Raw genomic sequence first — 15,649 nt, 5'->3', positions numbered from 1 at the left:
AGAACCACTGGCCTGAAGGAATTTGGAAAGGCTTTAACAAGAAGGTAGCATTTCAATTGTATTTAGAAACATCAGTAGAAGTCGGTCAGAGAATTAAGAGGAGCCCTTGAAGACAGAGCTAACATTATATTGAAATGCAAGGAGTCATCAAAAGGTTTGACCTGAGAATGTGAGGAATACAATATGGCTTAGTAGCAAGAGATAACGTTTAGTGCCTAGAAACCATAGGTTTCAAGTCTGTTCTGTGAAGGACTACAAGGGTGCCATACTCATAGAAACCTTGGCATTAGACTAACAAAGCAAAATGAGCAGATGTAAAATATGTATACGAACATGTATGTATAGAGAGATATATATCATTTTTATGTATATAATTTTGCTTTATATATGTGTGTATATATATACACACAACTCTATGGGAAATGATAACCATTGCTCTTGGGCTTCTGACCTGCTCTCCACTAGAGCCACAGATGGGTTTGCAAGGCAAATGAAAGAACTGAGTCATACATACTTCTCTTTCATTCACCTTATCTAAGCAGTTCTTTTTCTCTCAGACTGGAGTCTTGCTTGGGTAAAAATGAGTATTTGGGCCAGACTCTGCTGCTGCTCTTTATTCCCAAGCTGCTACCAGCACATCTGTTTAGTAGCAAGGGAGCTACCTGCTTCTCAAGGGCCAATTTGAAGACCAGCCTAATAACTTTTCTTTAAAGTGCTATCGGGCAGCCTCTTTTGCTCTCCATCAGCCTTGTATATAGCTGCATACCGCAGGTGCTGAAAGAAAATGAAAAAACAAAAAACAAAGCTTAAGCCTTAGAAGTCTAGATAAAAGAGGATATTTTCCTTGCCATTATATTATTTCAAGTATAAAAGCTACCATGTCAAAATGCACAGAAAACTGTGGTTCCTTATAAATATTAAAAAGGCAAGAATGATTTAAAGCTGTAAGGCTCCAAATCACCTTCTACAGTACAACTAGTTATATAAGGAGAATACATACCTACAGAGTGATATGGCAGAAGACCAAGCACTTTCTAAATTTGAAATTATATCTACAAATATCAATGCACCAATCTGAAAGATATTCGAAGGCACTATATTATTCAGTCTGTGTTGGGTTTAAAAAAAAAAAGAAGTATCAAGAGATAGTTAACCCTACCCTAAGATAGCGCAGTCTTTTTATACAGTTAATCATCTACATCTATTGAGTGCACAAGATGAAATGCTTGGTACTATGCCGTGTGCCATGAGAGAAAGCAGATAGAGTCTTAGTTCTAAAGACTCCTCTATTTGCAAGCTTGATGACACAGGCTAAGGATTAATTCCGAGTCATCACTGTGAACCTGTAACTCACTTGTTATCCTAGATGTTATCACCCAGCAACACTGATTTAGGCAAATTATTAGTTACAATTTAAAGGTCAAAAAACCTTTTAATCCTGAAAACTCATGATGTAGGGAAGGAATAACTATTTTCCAGCAAGTCAAATGAAAAGGCACGAACTTCAAGTACCTCAAACTGAAAAAAAGACTTGGCATATAAACATATATTGAGTCACAGGAAAAGTGTTTTGATATTTAACAGACACCAAATAAGTGAGAAAAAAATTGTTAAGGAAGAGGAACCAAAGGAATATATTAAGGGGAAGAATATGATTTAATAGGTGAATTCCCCCAGGTACTGGCCAGGTAAGCACAAAGTAGGAACTTTCATTTCATGATGTGGAATTCAAATTAGTAGGGGTGGCAAGGCTAATTCCAAACAGGCCATTTTAAGAAAAGAGAAAATGTAAGTTAAGAGGAGGAATGGAGAATTCTGACTACACCAAGTAAAAGAGGGATTCTGTGAAAAATAATACCATGATATTAAAAATGGATAATAAAAAAAATAAGGGATAAAAGGTTCTACAATTACGATCAATACCAATAGCACAGAATTCTAAGAGTATGTGATACTACTGTGGAAAATTAATGTCTTGGAAAGGAAGTAGCACTGTCTTAATACATCTTTCTGATAGAAATACTCTATATCATTCCTGTCCAATATAGTAGCCACATGTGGCTACTGAGCCCTTGAAATGTGCATTGAAATGTGAAATGGGGAGCTGAAATTTTGATTTAATTTATTAAATTAAATTTTATCATAATTCATTAAATTTAGAATTTAAAAAGCCATAGAGTTAGTGGCTACCATATTGGATAGTGCAGCTTAAGACTTAAAGTGTTTGTGTATCTTTTATAGGTGAAAGAGTGGGAAGAGCACATGCTATGAGGTAGGATCTGGTTTTCAAATGCCAGCATTGACATTTACTAGTATTTACTAGCATGGTGCCCTGGGGACAATCTGAATGTTGGGTTCTTCATCCAAAAAATAAAATAATACCGTATTTTCTATTACTGCTATCAAGACCCACTCTTTGTGTGATTTCCCTGAGGTCCCGAGGTTACATCAAGAGCCCAAGTTGGCTTTTAGAACCTCAGGAAACTCAAGGAAATCATGGGCTGCACTAGAATCATGGGACTAGAGGATGCAGCATCCCAAGTCCAGCTCAAATGAGTACATTTTTATAAGACCTGTATAAGTAAACACAAACAACAACAAATAAAACCCTTTCTAATTCAACACTCTTTACCTCTAAGCACTCTCCTTTCTCATTCTGACCTGCGCCATAAGAAGCCATATCCCATGAGATGGAGGCACTGTCAGAAAAGATGAGAGGCTTGAGCCTGCCAATGAGACCTTTGTCTCCAAGTAGAAAATATTTATCTTCAGGGGTTTCATTCAGTAACTCTGTTGTTGGCTCCTGACATTTCTTGACTTATAGCATTCATAAGCCCTGGAAACGTTTTCAGATGGATGTAAGTCCTCCCAGCATATCGGCATTTCTTATTTATTTATTTATTTATTTATTTATTTATTTATTTATTTTATGAGATGGAGTCTTGCTCTCCCGGGTTCATGCCATTCTCCTACCTCAGCCTCCCGAGTAGCTGGGACTACAGGCGCCCGCCACGACGCCCGGCTGATTTTTTGTATTTTTAGTAGAGACGGGGTTTCACCGTGTTAGCCAGGATGGTCTCGATCTCCTGACCTCGTGATCCACCTGCTTCAGCCTCCCAAAGTGCTGGGATTACAGGTGTGAGCCACTGCGCCCGGCCCATATTGGCATTTCTTGAATCCAGTATCAGCAGAAAGAATGTGAGGGGAAGCAACTAGAACTAACTCTACCAAAAAGTTTTTCTATAAAAAGGAATCAAAAGAGGAGGTGGGTGGCAGGGAAGTGGAACAACAACTAGATTGGAAATGGGGTCAAGAGAGAATTATTTTTAAGAAGGGAAGTACTACATGTTTGTTTGCTGATGGAAATGACTCTACAAAGAAGGAGGAATTAAGGATGTAGGAGAGAGAGAGGATTAATTGTAGGATAAAGTCATTGGGGTGGTAAGAGAAGGATCTAATTATACGAGAAAGAATGTAGTATAATAAACTGTGTCCCAATGAGAGTTCTTAATGTTTTAATAACAAGTGATGGTGGTTTCAATTTGGGTTCCAAAAGACAGTGAGAAAAAAAAGATGGTGGCTTCAAGAAAATGAAACTAACTGGCCAGGAAAGTATGGTTACTTTTCACTATAGCTGTTTCTTCTGTACCTGTCCCTTTGCTCAGGTCATCAGTTTAATTAAAACAGGTACAAAAATTATGAAACAATGTGGTGAGTAAAATGAGAGAAGGGTGCACAGGACACTATGCGGTTACCAAAAAAGGGCACCAACCAAGATCAGGCAAGGGGTTAAGGGGATGCCGTGTCCATTTTCCCAGTAGGAGGGGCAGATAAGAGGAGACAGTCCTATGCAAGGGTGAGTTGAAGCAAACAAAAAGCACACCTGGTACTCAAGAGGCTGAGGCAGGAGAATCACTTGAACCTGGGAGGCAAAGGCTGCAGCGAGCCGTGATTGTGCCACTGCACTCCAACCTGCACTGCAGAGTGAGACTCCATCTCAAAAAAAACAAAACAAACAAACAAAAAACACACACCTGAGTAGTTCAGTGTCAAAAAGTATAAAGGTGGAAATGGTGAGAAATCAAACTGAAGACAGGTAGGGATCATATCTTTAAGGAACTCTATACTGCATTAAGAGCCTAACTTTACGTCACAGACTAGTGTTTCCTAAACTTAAGCAATGTTATGTAAATGAATAGGAAAAAATTTATAGTTGTTGAGGACTACTCTTTAACTCTTATTATTTTTGTAATTATAATTATTATGCACAAAAACAAGTAAAACTTCCTCAAAGTTATAGCTTTTATATAACCATGAAACCAAAACAAGTTTATAAACTAAACACAAATGAAATTTCAAAACCAATTATATTCAAACTTAACTTATCAATTTAATGTAATGAATAATGTTGTTTTACTGAAACAAATTCACTCATATTGAATTTAATAGTAGGAAGATGCAAGTCTAGTATTATAGTTGAGAAAGAGTTTAGAGGAATGGTTAAGAGCATGAACACTGGAGCTAGCCTGCCTGAGTTCAACTCCCAGCTCCCCATTTTACTAGCTGAGTGACCTTGATCTAGTTAAGAAATTACTTAACCTCTTGGTGCCTTAGTTTTCTCATGCGGCTATAAGTACCTTTCTCAAAGAGTTACTGCCAAGATAATGTAAACTAATACATATAAAGAGCTTAGAACATGGAATAAGAAGCTGTCTGTATTTTTTACTTTATTAAAAAACCAGTAGAGGTGGCAGGAAAAAAAAACACACATTACTTGGTGGATCTCTGGAGGAGCAAACATAGAAAAGAAGACTCAGAGAAGGTAGTAGTTCTCTGAATCTGAATCCTGTTTGATCATTTTTTTTTTTTTTTTTTTGTAGCAGAGTCTTGCTCTGTTGCCTGAGCCAAAGTACAGTGGCTGAATCACTGCAGCTTCAAACTCCTGGGCTCAAGCAATCCTCCTACCTCAACCTCCCGAGTAGCTGGGTCTACAAGTATGCACCACGCCCAAATGATTTTTATAATTATTGTAGAGACGGGGGTTTCACCATGTTGCCCAGACTGGACTTGAACTCCTGAGTGCAAATGATCCAACCACCTCAGCCTCCCAAAGTGCTGGGATTACAGGCGTGAGCCACTGTGATCAGCCAATACTGACTTTTTCAAAAGAACACTACTAACGGCTTATGGCTTGAAGAAAAACAAAGAAATCAGAAAAACATGGACATAAAGGAATTAAATAAAAAACGTTTTCAACTACTGGTTTGACGGCCCCAGGTCCCTTGCCATCCCCTATTCCCCAACAGAACAACTATCCCCCCAGTAACCCTGCTTGGGGCCTCTTTAAGCAAAGGGATTGAAGCAGAAGTCTGATTCACTTTAGCCTGTCAAAAATAGATGGTTAATGAATTAAGGAGTTGGAGAAAGAAACATTCATATGTATATAAACATTAATCTATCAGCAAAAATCTCAGATAACTGATACCTATTGTTATAAAATGCTTTTTTCTTAAGAAGGATAAAGAACCATTTTCTCAGCTACTCCTTTGTATTCTTCAATAAAATGTATACTGTTGGGGGGTGGGTAAGGAAGTAACAGTCTGCAATATGAAAAATCTGGACAGAATAGTAAGCACTCAAATATCAAGGAGGTAAGATTTTTAAAAATAAAATTAAACGCTCAGGTATGAAACTAAAATGGTATGTTATAAATTCTGTAACTGTCAAAATCCACTTGTAATAATACCTTTCATTTTATCTGTTATGAAATGAAGTGTTTCAAAAAGTTGAATCTTTCAGGTACCTAAAATATCATTATAAACACCAAAACCTTATTTTTATTTTTTTGATGAAAATCTAAGATGTAATACTTGCAAGCCTTCTTAAATAGGGCATAGAGAACCATAATTTATCCATTTTCTTAGTGTTTAAAAGTCACTATTATGGATATAAGTTATTTTATTGTTGACTGTAATCACATAGTCCTGAGAGAATAGATACCTATAGGGCTTACTGACACAGTCCTAAATCTGAGGTTGGCAAACTAAGTACTTTTGGTCAAATCTGGCCCTCAGAATGTTTTTGTATGGCCCTGGAGTTAAGAGTGGTTTTATATTTTTTAAAGTTTGTAAAAAAAAAAAAATTAAAAATAAGAATATTTGACAAAAACCCTGTGTGGTCCTCAAAACCTAAAATATTTACTATCTGACCTTTTACAGAAAAAGTTTCCCAATCCTTGTCTGAAATGATCCCAGCCTAGCATGCCTTGGAAATTGGTGTCCCCTTTCTTTATCTGCCCTATCTGAGGAGGCAGAGGCTCTGAAGTGAGAATTGAGTTTGGCCGGACCAGGGGCTCATACCTATAATCCCAGCACTTTGGGAGGCTGAGGTGGGCAGATCATTTGAGGTCAGGAGTTCGAGACCAGCCTGGCCAACATGGTGAAACCCTGTCTCTACTAAAAATACAAAAAAATTTGCTGGGCATGGTGGCGCACATCCGTAGTCCCAGTTACTCAGGTGGCTGAGGCACGAGAATCGCTTGAACCTGGGAGGTGGAGGTTGCAGTGAGCTGAGATTGCGCCACTGCACTCCAGCCTGGGTGACAGAGGGAGACTCTGTCTCAAAAAACAAGAAAAAAGAAAAAAAGAATTGGTTTGATTCCTAGATTAAGCACATGCTATCTATAATGACCTTGGGTATCTCCTTAACCTCACAGAGCCTTTGTTTAATCATTTGTAAAATGGGTATAAACATAACGAACTTCACAGGATTTCTAGGCAAAATGAATGACGTACTATGGGAGACATTCAGTAAATGAAAACCATTATTATGTCGTGCTCCATTAGACAAAGACTACCTCCAAAAGGAAGATATACAACTTGGTAAACTATGAACTAAAAAGGCAGAATTCAAATAATTTTAAGCTTTCTTTAAAAGGTCCTTCTGCTATGTGAATGAGAACATCATGAACTTTCCTTAACCTTAAAATTAAACATTCTCACTTCTTAAGTAGTAAATTTGACTAAAAGCTAAAGACATACCAAATAATAGCCATGACAGTCAAGCAAGTTGTGAAGTCAGAAACATAGTGATTAAGTCACTACTGGAAAGCCAGAATCTATTTTTGATTCACTCGGATCACCTTTATTTCATTATACATTTTATAACATCAAAGCAAAACATGGCATAATTTCAGGCACTGAATCATCATCCAACTGAGTTGTAATTAAGGATAAGAACATCATTAAGTTTTAGGTAATGCTTGCAATTGTAAGTAAGCAGTGCCTTTCTATTCTTCTGGAAAATGTCATTTAGGGGGTTTCAACAATTCTCCTAAATCTAGACTGTAAGTGCCATGCTTGAATTTTTTTTTGGATGCGTGCCCAACAATAAATAATCCACAATGATCTGAGGACAGCACTTCCACCCAAGAACTTAATCAGATTAATGATGTATTTGTTTTATAAAAATGAAGTACATTAAGCCTGAGAATACCTAATTTACATACTAAATGGTTGCTAGGGACCAAAAATACTAGTGGTTTTTATAAAATCGAGGTTACAAAATTGTCCATTGTCTTGAAATCTGTTAGTAAATAGCAGTGAAATGCAAAATAATAAACCAATGTTAATTAGTAGTATTTACGTATGTAAATTCATTAGATGGTGTACTGTTGTTCAAAAGAACCTAACGATGCTCATATTTGAAAACATACGTGCCCCAGAGACAATGATGCCATTATATGAAGTTGGAAATAACAGCAAACTTACTTATAATGTTTTCTAATTGACTTGACCTCAAATTGTGATTAACATGCTACTCTGATATTTTCATTTAGGGTCCTAGTTTAATATATGCAAACATAAACAGTAAATTAGCAGTCTAGGTTTCTGCCATTTTTTGTTGGAAACCTATTAGCAACCTTTATCTAAAAATGGGAGGAGAGCTTTCACAAAATAGCTGAATTTCACCAATCCCTAAATCAGAGGAATTTACAGCATCTCTGGATGTTTCTTCTGGATTGTCACAGACACATACACACACACACAAAGCTGCTTCATTCATTCAACATACTTGTGTTAATTGATCTTGGGGAGACAATATTGAATAAGACAAAGTCACTACCTTCTTTGCTAAGGACATTGCCAAGTAAGCAGATAATTACCATACAGTAGGACAATATTACAATTAGGGCATAAATGGAGAGCTTAGGTCAGATTGTCAATGAAAGCTTTATTTTAGAATGAAATCAAACATCAGTCCAAATATCCTAAATGAGTTAATATTGAAAGACAAAAATTTGTTACTTTTAGAAGCAACAAATTCCTACAGAAGAGCAAACCTAATACTAAGCCATCTGTTATTTGCAATACACTTAATAAAGTCAACAGACGGATGCACTTCCTGTGCTTCAGATAAACAGATGGTTTTTTAAAAGTCTAAAATATTCTATCAATGGAAACCTCAACCAACACCAAAAAAAAAAAAATCCCTCACAAACGTACAGCAGCCCACAGTTGAATACTTGGTTTCTTTTCATTCAGCATACACATAATGAAGACGGCACTGCAAACCCTAGACTACCATCCTTCTGTTACCATGAAAGCAGCATCTTTTCTTTGTGAAATACGTGTGGACACAAAGGAGGACTATTCAGTTGAACTGGTTAAACATCTTTTGTACCTGGAATGTTGATGATACATCTAGTTGGCAGGCAGAAGCAGCACAGCTTACAAACAACTCACCTACTCCATTTGTTTACAAAACACACATTTATTTACAAACCACGGCACACAGACACACCACCAGACAGATGAATGTATTTGGTATGTAAAAGGGCATGGTGAGATCCCACTATAGCAAGATCTTTGATTCTAAAAGATTTCTCTTAAATTGAGGAAAAATAATACTTTGAATAAACATTGATAACTGAATTTTTAAAAAATTCTACTCAAAAGCACTTACTTGCATAAGCCATATGTAAGCATGTTTTCAAAAGTTAATCAAATATTAGTGGTTCATGCTATACCAAGTCATTCATATGACATTATCATGCTCAGTATAATTATTTTTTAATCAACAGTTTAGGGTCAGCATATAGAACTTATTTTGCATGAAACAAAGGCAAAAATAAAACTTAAGACTTTTTTTAATTTAGACTAAGCAAAAAGTGTTACAAATTCTCATAATGTCAGACACTTCCATTTTTCTTATAAGAAACATTCTGGCTACAAAACATCTTTTCGTATACAAACTTATGAAAACCCTAAGATCACAAAATGCTTATATCATTGACAACTTGGATTTGAAAAAAAAATACACTTAAAGCTTACAAACTCAGTAAAAGTTCCACGATATGTATTACTTACTATGTTAATTCATCTTTCTTCACTTCTATTGCATCAGTCATGAATGTCCAGATCTTGGCTTACCTGAATCAATTACTTGCTTGGAATCAAATAATATTAGACATTCATATATAAAATACACCCTGGAAAAGGATATATATATGTATTTCAAGTCCACTGTATTTAAATACTCCCAACTATTTTAACTTGAACTAAAATTTGTAAAAAGATATAAACCAATAGATAGACCAGCTCTAATGTAACATAACTACACAAGAAAATGAGCTGGGTGTTCAAATTCCTCTCTGCCAAAAGGACAACATTTGAGAGAGAATATAAGGAAATACGTTTCTGAGTTTAATGATTACTATGTCATGTTTTATTATAGCTGATATTTACTGAGCATTTACCATGTGCCAACTATTAAGCTCTTTTCATTATTTAACTCATTTAATTCTCACAATAGCCACGGAAAATTAACAGTAACATCTTAGTAAAAGAATGAAACACTACTTGGAAAGCATATGTTTTTTTTTTTTTTAATTTACATGAAAAGTTAGCTCAAACACAGTCTCTATTAGCAACCAGAAGACCAGTTAGTTTAGGAAATCATCTATTACAAAGAAAGAGTTAACATGTTAAAATTTAAGGCAACTTTGTTATGTTAGTCTAAGTGAAGACTTAGCTCTGCCTCTATCTGAAGTATCAAACAAAGTTTCAGAGAGCCATAAAATAATATGCATCAATTCATCATCATCTGCTGAGTCAAACATTGGAAAATAATGTCAAGAAGTTACCCTGTAATTACTTCGTGGCTCCTTGAAAACCCATTTGACATAATCACTCTTTGACAGCTGCAAGAGGGAAAATGTTCTATTTCTTCTCCCACCAGTATTCTCTTCTGAGACCCAGGGGCATTGCTTTTCAGCACTTCCTGATCTGCCAAATGTTTATGAAGGAAGTATGTGGGGTGCCTTCGTAATCAGTGCTCCCAAGGCTGGTCAGGGGTTGAGAGTTTCCAATCAAAGCTGTGGATTCAGGAGAGTCACAGGAGAGTCAGGGGATGGGCAATGGGCTTATTATTACCCGTGTGCAGGGAGGAAAATTACTCAAGTACAGGAGTATCTGGTTTTATCTAAAAGACCACTGGAACATTTCTCTCCCTTTTGTCTATGACATTACATTCATTTACAAAGGAAACCCTCAGTAACCACTACATTATAATATTTTAAACATTCTTATTTCTCTGTATGTGGGGCAAGAGTTATTTTAAGATGCGACTAAACCAGCCAAGAAGTTAAATCATCCTGGCCTTGCTGTCAAGAAAGCCTGTAATTTCCATCCAAGATTTTTGGACCCAGGACCACAGTTGGGTTTTCTGCCTATACCTGAGCTGGTAGGAGCTGAACAAAGCTTGCTCTGAAAGTGAAGCACAGCCTTTTTAACAGCTCATTTCCAGGAAGTAAATTGGGTACTTGATTTCTTCTCTGAACACTTACAATTGAGCTAACATCTTAGACTAGTTCCCCATTTCCCAATGGGAGTGTTTTCTAGTTGTCTATTACCACTTGGTTTTCATCAGGGGCATCCACCAGAAGAAAGGCCTAACCCGACAGCACAAGATGATAAGCCTAAAACCCCAGTATCTCAACAATAGAATGTGAGAGGAGCCTAGAAAAAAATTTCTGCAAAACAATCCTATTGTGGGAAACTGAAGCTTCATATTGCACTGGGAATACCTAGGTTCTTATCACAGATTTTTCATTTTTTCCATCAGAAGAGATATGAGTTAGGCCTGTGACACAGCAAGATTTAGAAAGTCTATTGCACTAATGAAAATGTCACTGATGTTACCTCTACAGTAAAAAAGGGAAAAATAAAGACCAGGGAAAGAAGAAAGCAACAAAGGAACTAACCAGTTAGCACTATAATAAATGGCAGCTTCTGGAGGCCATTTTATCCCATTGACAGTAACAAAAAGGGAAAAAAGTCATTTATACAATTTGGTACTTAAAATTGAATTGGGAAGTGCTAATAATATTTTCTCAATTTTCCTAAGTTTCTGAGTTATTCCTCAGAAGTTAATACAAAGTTAATTTACCCCACTTCTCAAATTAAGATTAAAACTTGAAAGGGGAAAAAAAAGTATCAGTTTACCAAAAAATGTTATTTATAATATCTTCAGGTAGAAAAAATATATATACTTACTTCAGAGGGAAAATATCTCTCATTAAAAAGAATAGGTTAATTGTGCTGACCTAATTTAAATCAATATTATTCTCACTTTTATCCTGAATCAATGCCACCTGCATATTTGTAAGAGAATTATGTATGATTACAAAATAAATTGAGTATTTCATAACTGAAATTTTAAAGTAACTTTTTAATAACGTGCTACAAAAATGATAATCTCACTTATTAAAGCTTTGTTTACAGTGTTGATAGCTCTTATAGTACTTTTGCAAATCTTTACTAATTTAACATTACAACTTCCTATCTTTTCCTAATCTCATGTAATTTACCCTACTTAATTCCTTGCTTCTGGATATGCTACATTTGCCACCCAATGAGTTTATTTCACTGGTCATTTACTTTTAACAGTAAAGCCAAACTATTTGAAAGAAATAATCTCCCAACAAATCCAACACAGGAAAAAAAGACTCTTATTTATCCAGCATTTTGTGCCATGAATTGAAGTTTTATTGCAAAGAGTAAGCAATAAACAAAAACACCTCGGGGGCCTGGGAGGAGCAATGTAACCAATTACATTTAATTAAATCAAAGGATGGGAGCCCCAGGGTTGAATGAGCTGAAGAACAAATTTGCATTAACACCTAGCAGCCAAACAAGTAGCTCTGGGTCTAGTATGCAAGTCCAATTGTTACCATCTATTCTCTGCACTGAAGGGGGGCCATTAGCTAAATTCTTAGGCATTGTTTGTCCACTGATGAGAGGCTGCCTTCTCAACATTTCACTTCATCACACATGAAAATTGCCTACTAAAATAAACAGCTTCCTCTGAAAGCTCAGAAACAAACATTATTACCTGACTCCAGTTTGCAATTTGGTGAAAACTCTTCAGGGCTGCTAAAGGAGACAAAAAGAAAATGAAAGGTGTGATTCCAGGCCCTAACTTTACAGTTGATGGAGATCATATGTTTGGGCAGATTCTTTTGAAACATCAGAGACTACAAGGCAGGTTATTCTTTAGCTTCCACCAAGAGTACCACTGTTTTACATGGAATACTTTGACTTAATGCAGCACCATGAGAATCTCAAACATTCATAGCCGAAAGCCCATTGAAAGTATCAAGAAGTCATAATTTCCCCCCAAAATTCTCTCATCTTTATAGAGAGCTTCTCTATAAAGAGTCCTGGATTACTAATTATTTTTATCATTTAGAGATTTTTGTCTCAATACATATATATACACATATATATAATCACTATCACAAACTTTAACAAGATCATATAATGAGACCCTACATAATTATGGGTAAATTAGCACCTGACTCTGATAGGTTTTATTCTTTTGTCTTTTTTTTTTTTTTTTTTTTTTTGAGACGGAGTCTCGCTCTGTCGCCCAGGCCGGACTGCGGACTGCAGTGGCGCAATCTCGGCTCACTGCAAGCTCCGCTTCCCGGGTTCACGCCATTCTCCTGCCTCAGCCTCCCGAGTAGCTGGGACTACAGGCGCCCGCCACCGCGCCCGGCTAATTTTTTGTATTTTTAGTAGAGACGGGGTTTCACCTTGTTAGCCAGGATGGTCTCGATCTCCTGACCTTATTCTTTTGTCTTATACGTTCTTCTTTTGGTCCCATTAAAGTAACAATCTCAAACAACAACAACAAAAACCTTGGAAGAGTCATTAGTAGCTCCATTATGTTAAATGATGTTGAAGTAAGTATGATAACATAGAGACCAGGAAAGAAGCAAAGAGATACAGGTCCAGCTAGGGCTATTTCAGATTGAACAAACCGAAACAGTAGTAGGAATATAATATGTATTATCCAGAAATATTAGTTTGAATTAACAGTATAATTCACCATCCATAAGACATACACACACACACACACACACACACACACACATACACACACACACACACATATATATAAAACCTCCTGAGTCACCAAAGCAAACACATTCCACATTGCTTCAAAGTCAGCTTCACAGCTTGTAGGGTAGGGATGTCAGTTTGAGTCTAAGTGAGATTCTGGTATGTCTAGGCTGGTCAGATAAGAAACAATTTCACTGGTGGGGCTCAAGGAGCCCTGTAAGAAGAGTTGGGCTCTTTGACTTTAGCCTTAAGTTCAACATGACTGGAACAAAGATGATTCCAACCTATATTTCAAATATATTTCTTAGACTCAAAGCACTCTTAAAGCCCCCAAATGCATGGAGAAATGGCAGGAAAAGGCAAAATAACTTCTTGCTCTGTTTAGCTGGGTCACTCCAACAAGCAGAGCACATTGCCCAGAAACAAATGCCTTCTGCCCGTGCTTTGAGATCCTTGAAAGTCTGTAACAGTTTTACAAACTCATGGAGTCATCATAAACTTGCATTTGGAGTTGTATCTGGTGGAATTTGAGTTATTATGGTTAACGTGACTGCATAACTCTAAGCTGTGGTATGAAGTCTGAGAAAATTGAAGATATATATACATACATACAGACATACATACATATAAAATATACATATACACAAACATACAAAAATTCAAGAAAAACCTTGGACTATGTTAACTAAAAGAACTGCCAACATCTATTGATATGGACAGGAGGCAGGGAAATACTGAGTAGAAAAGGGTGGGGTCCCTGGCGAGGGTTCCACCCTCGAGCCTGGACCTGCGGCCCTAAATGAGAACTTCACATCTCCGCTTTCCTACCCTAGTGCTGCCTTTTTGCCCCCCACACTTCCTATCATGTGCCCATAAAAATCACAACCTCCATTGGCAGAGGAGCAGGGCAGCACAACAGAGAAGGAAAGAAGAGAAGATGTGTCTGAACGTCGAGAAGAGAAGAGGCAGCTGAACATCAGAGACTATGGTCAAAGAGGAGTTGGGCTGGGAACGACCGAACTCTAGGGGAAGATTATCTTCTCACTCCACCCCATTTCCAACTCTCCATCCTGCTGAGAGCCACTTCCACCACTCAATGAAATCTCCGCATTCACCATCCTTCAAGTCCGTGTGATCTGATTCTTCCTGGACACTGGACAAGAACCTAGGTACCAAGAGGGCAGGGTGTAAAAAGCTGTCACCCTGACCCTCCACTGAGCTGGTTAACACTTAGCCAACAGTAGAAGGCAAATGCTAAAAGAGCATTGTTTGTAACACACACCCTTAGGGGCTCCAGAGGTTGTGGGCAACCCCTAGAGGCTGCTGCAGGTTTGTTCCTGCCAGTGCCCAAAGACATTCACCCCAGAGACTGCACCCCCTCACCTGTATGCTCCCTTTCCCACAAGGGGTTTGGGCACGGCAGCTGAGCAAACGAGCCAACCCTGTCGCAAGTCCCATGAGGGGGTCAAAGGAACTCTCCCATTTCACTATCACATTTTTACCAAGCAGAAAAATATATGGTCTGGTTTGGGCCACAAATTCAATATAATACAAATCTGGTATATTTTGTAGCAGCTGTTTTTTGGCCTCTTGGGCTCCATGTTAATTTACATTTGAAGGCTAAAAAAAAATACATATACACATTTTAAGATACAGGGGATACTTGTGGTGGTTTGTGACATGAGTATATTGTATGGTGCTAAGGTTTGGTATCTCATTGTGTTTTCGATGTGCATCCCTCTAGATTCACGAAGTTGAGAATTTTTTCATGTTTGTTGGCCACTTGGATGTCTTCTTTTGAGAAGTATCTGTTCGTGTCCTTTGCCCACTTTTCAATGGCATTTTTTTTCTTGTTGATTTGTTTACATTCCTTATAGATTCTGGATACTAGTCTTTTGTCAAATGTGTAGCTTTCAAATATTTTCTCCCATTCTGTATGTTGTCTGTTTAATCTGTTGATAGTTTATTTTGCTGTGCAGAAGTTCTTTTGTCTAATTAGGACCAATTGTCAATTTTTTTGTTGCATTTGTTTTTGAGGACTTGGTCGTACATTATTTGCCTAGGCCAATGTCCAGAAGAGTATTTCCTAGGTTTTCTACTAGAATTTTTATGGTTCGAGATCTTATATTTAAATCTTTAATCCATCTTAAGTTAGTTTTTGTATATGGTCAGAGGTAGATGTCATTTCATTCTTCTGCATATGGTTAACCAGTTTTCCCAGCACCATTTATTGAATAGGGTAT

General features: G+C 37.1%; 1 protein-coding gene across 7 annotated transcripts in view; it reads right to left on the bottom strand.

Moving 5' to 3' along the window:
- Positions 1-15,649, bottom strand: part of CAMKMT (calmodulin-lysine N-methyltransferase) — a 410,646-nt gene that overhangs the window by 329,878 nt on the left and 65,119 nt on the right. The gene's annotated exons all lie outside the window — the stretch shown is intronic.

The sequence above is a fragment of the Homo sapiens genome, chromosome 2 (genome assembly GCF_000001405.40).
Source record: "Homo sapiens chromosome 2, GRCh38.p14 Primary Assembly".
Taxonomy (NCBI): domain Eukaryota; kingdom Metazoa; phylum Chordata; class Mammalia; order Primates; family Hominidae; genus Homo; species Homo sapiens.
The sequence above is the reverse complement of the archived record's forward strand: the minus strand, read 5'-3'. Positions and strand labels throughout refer to the sequence as shown.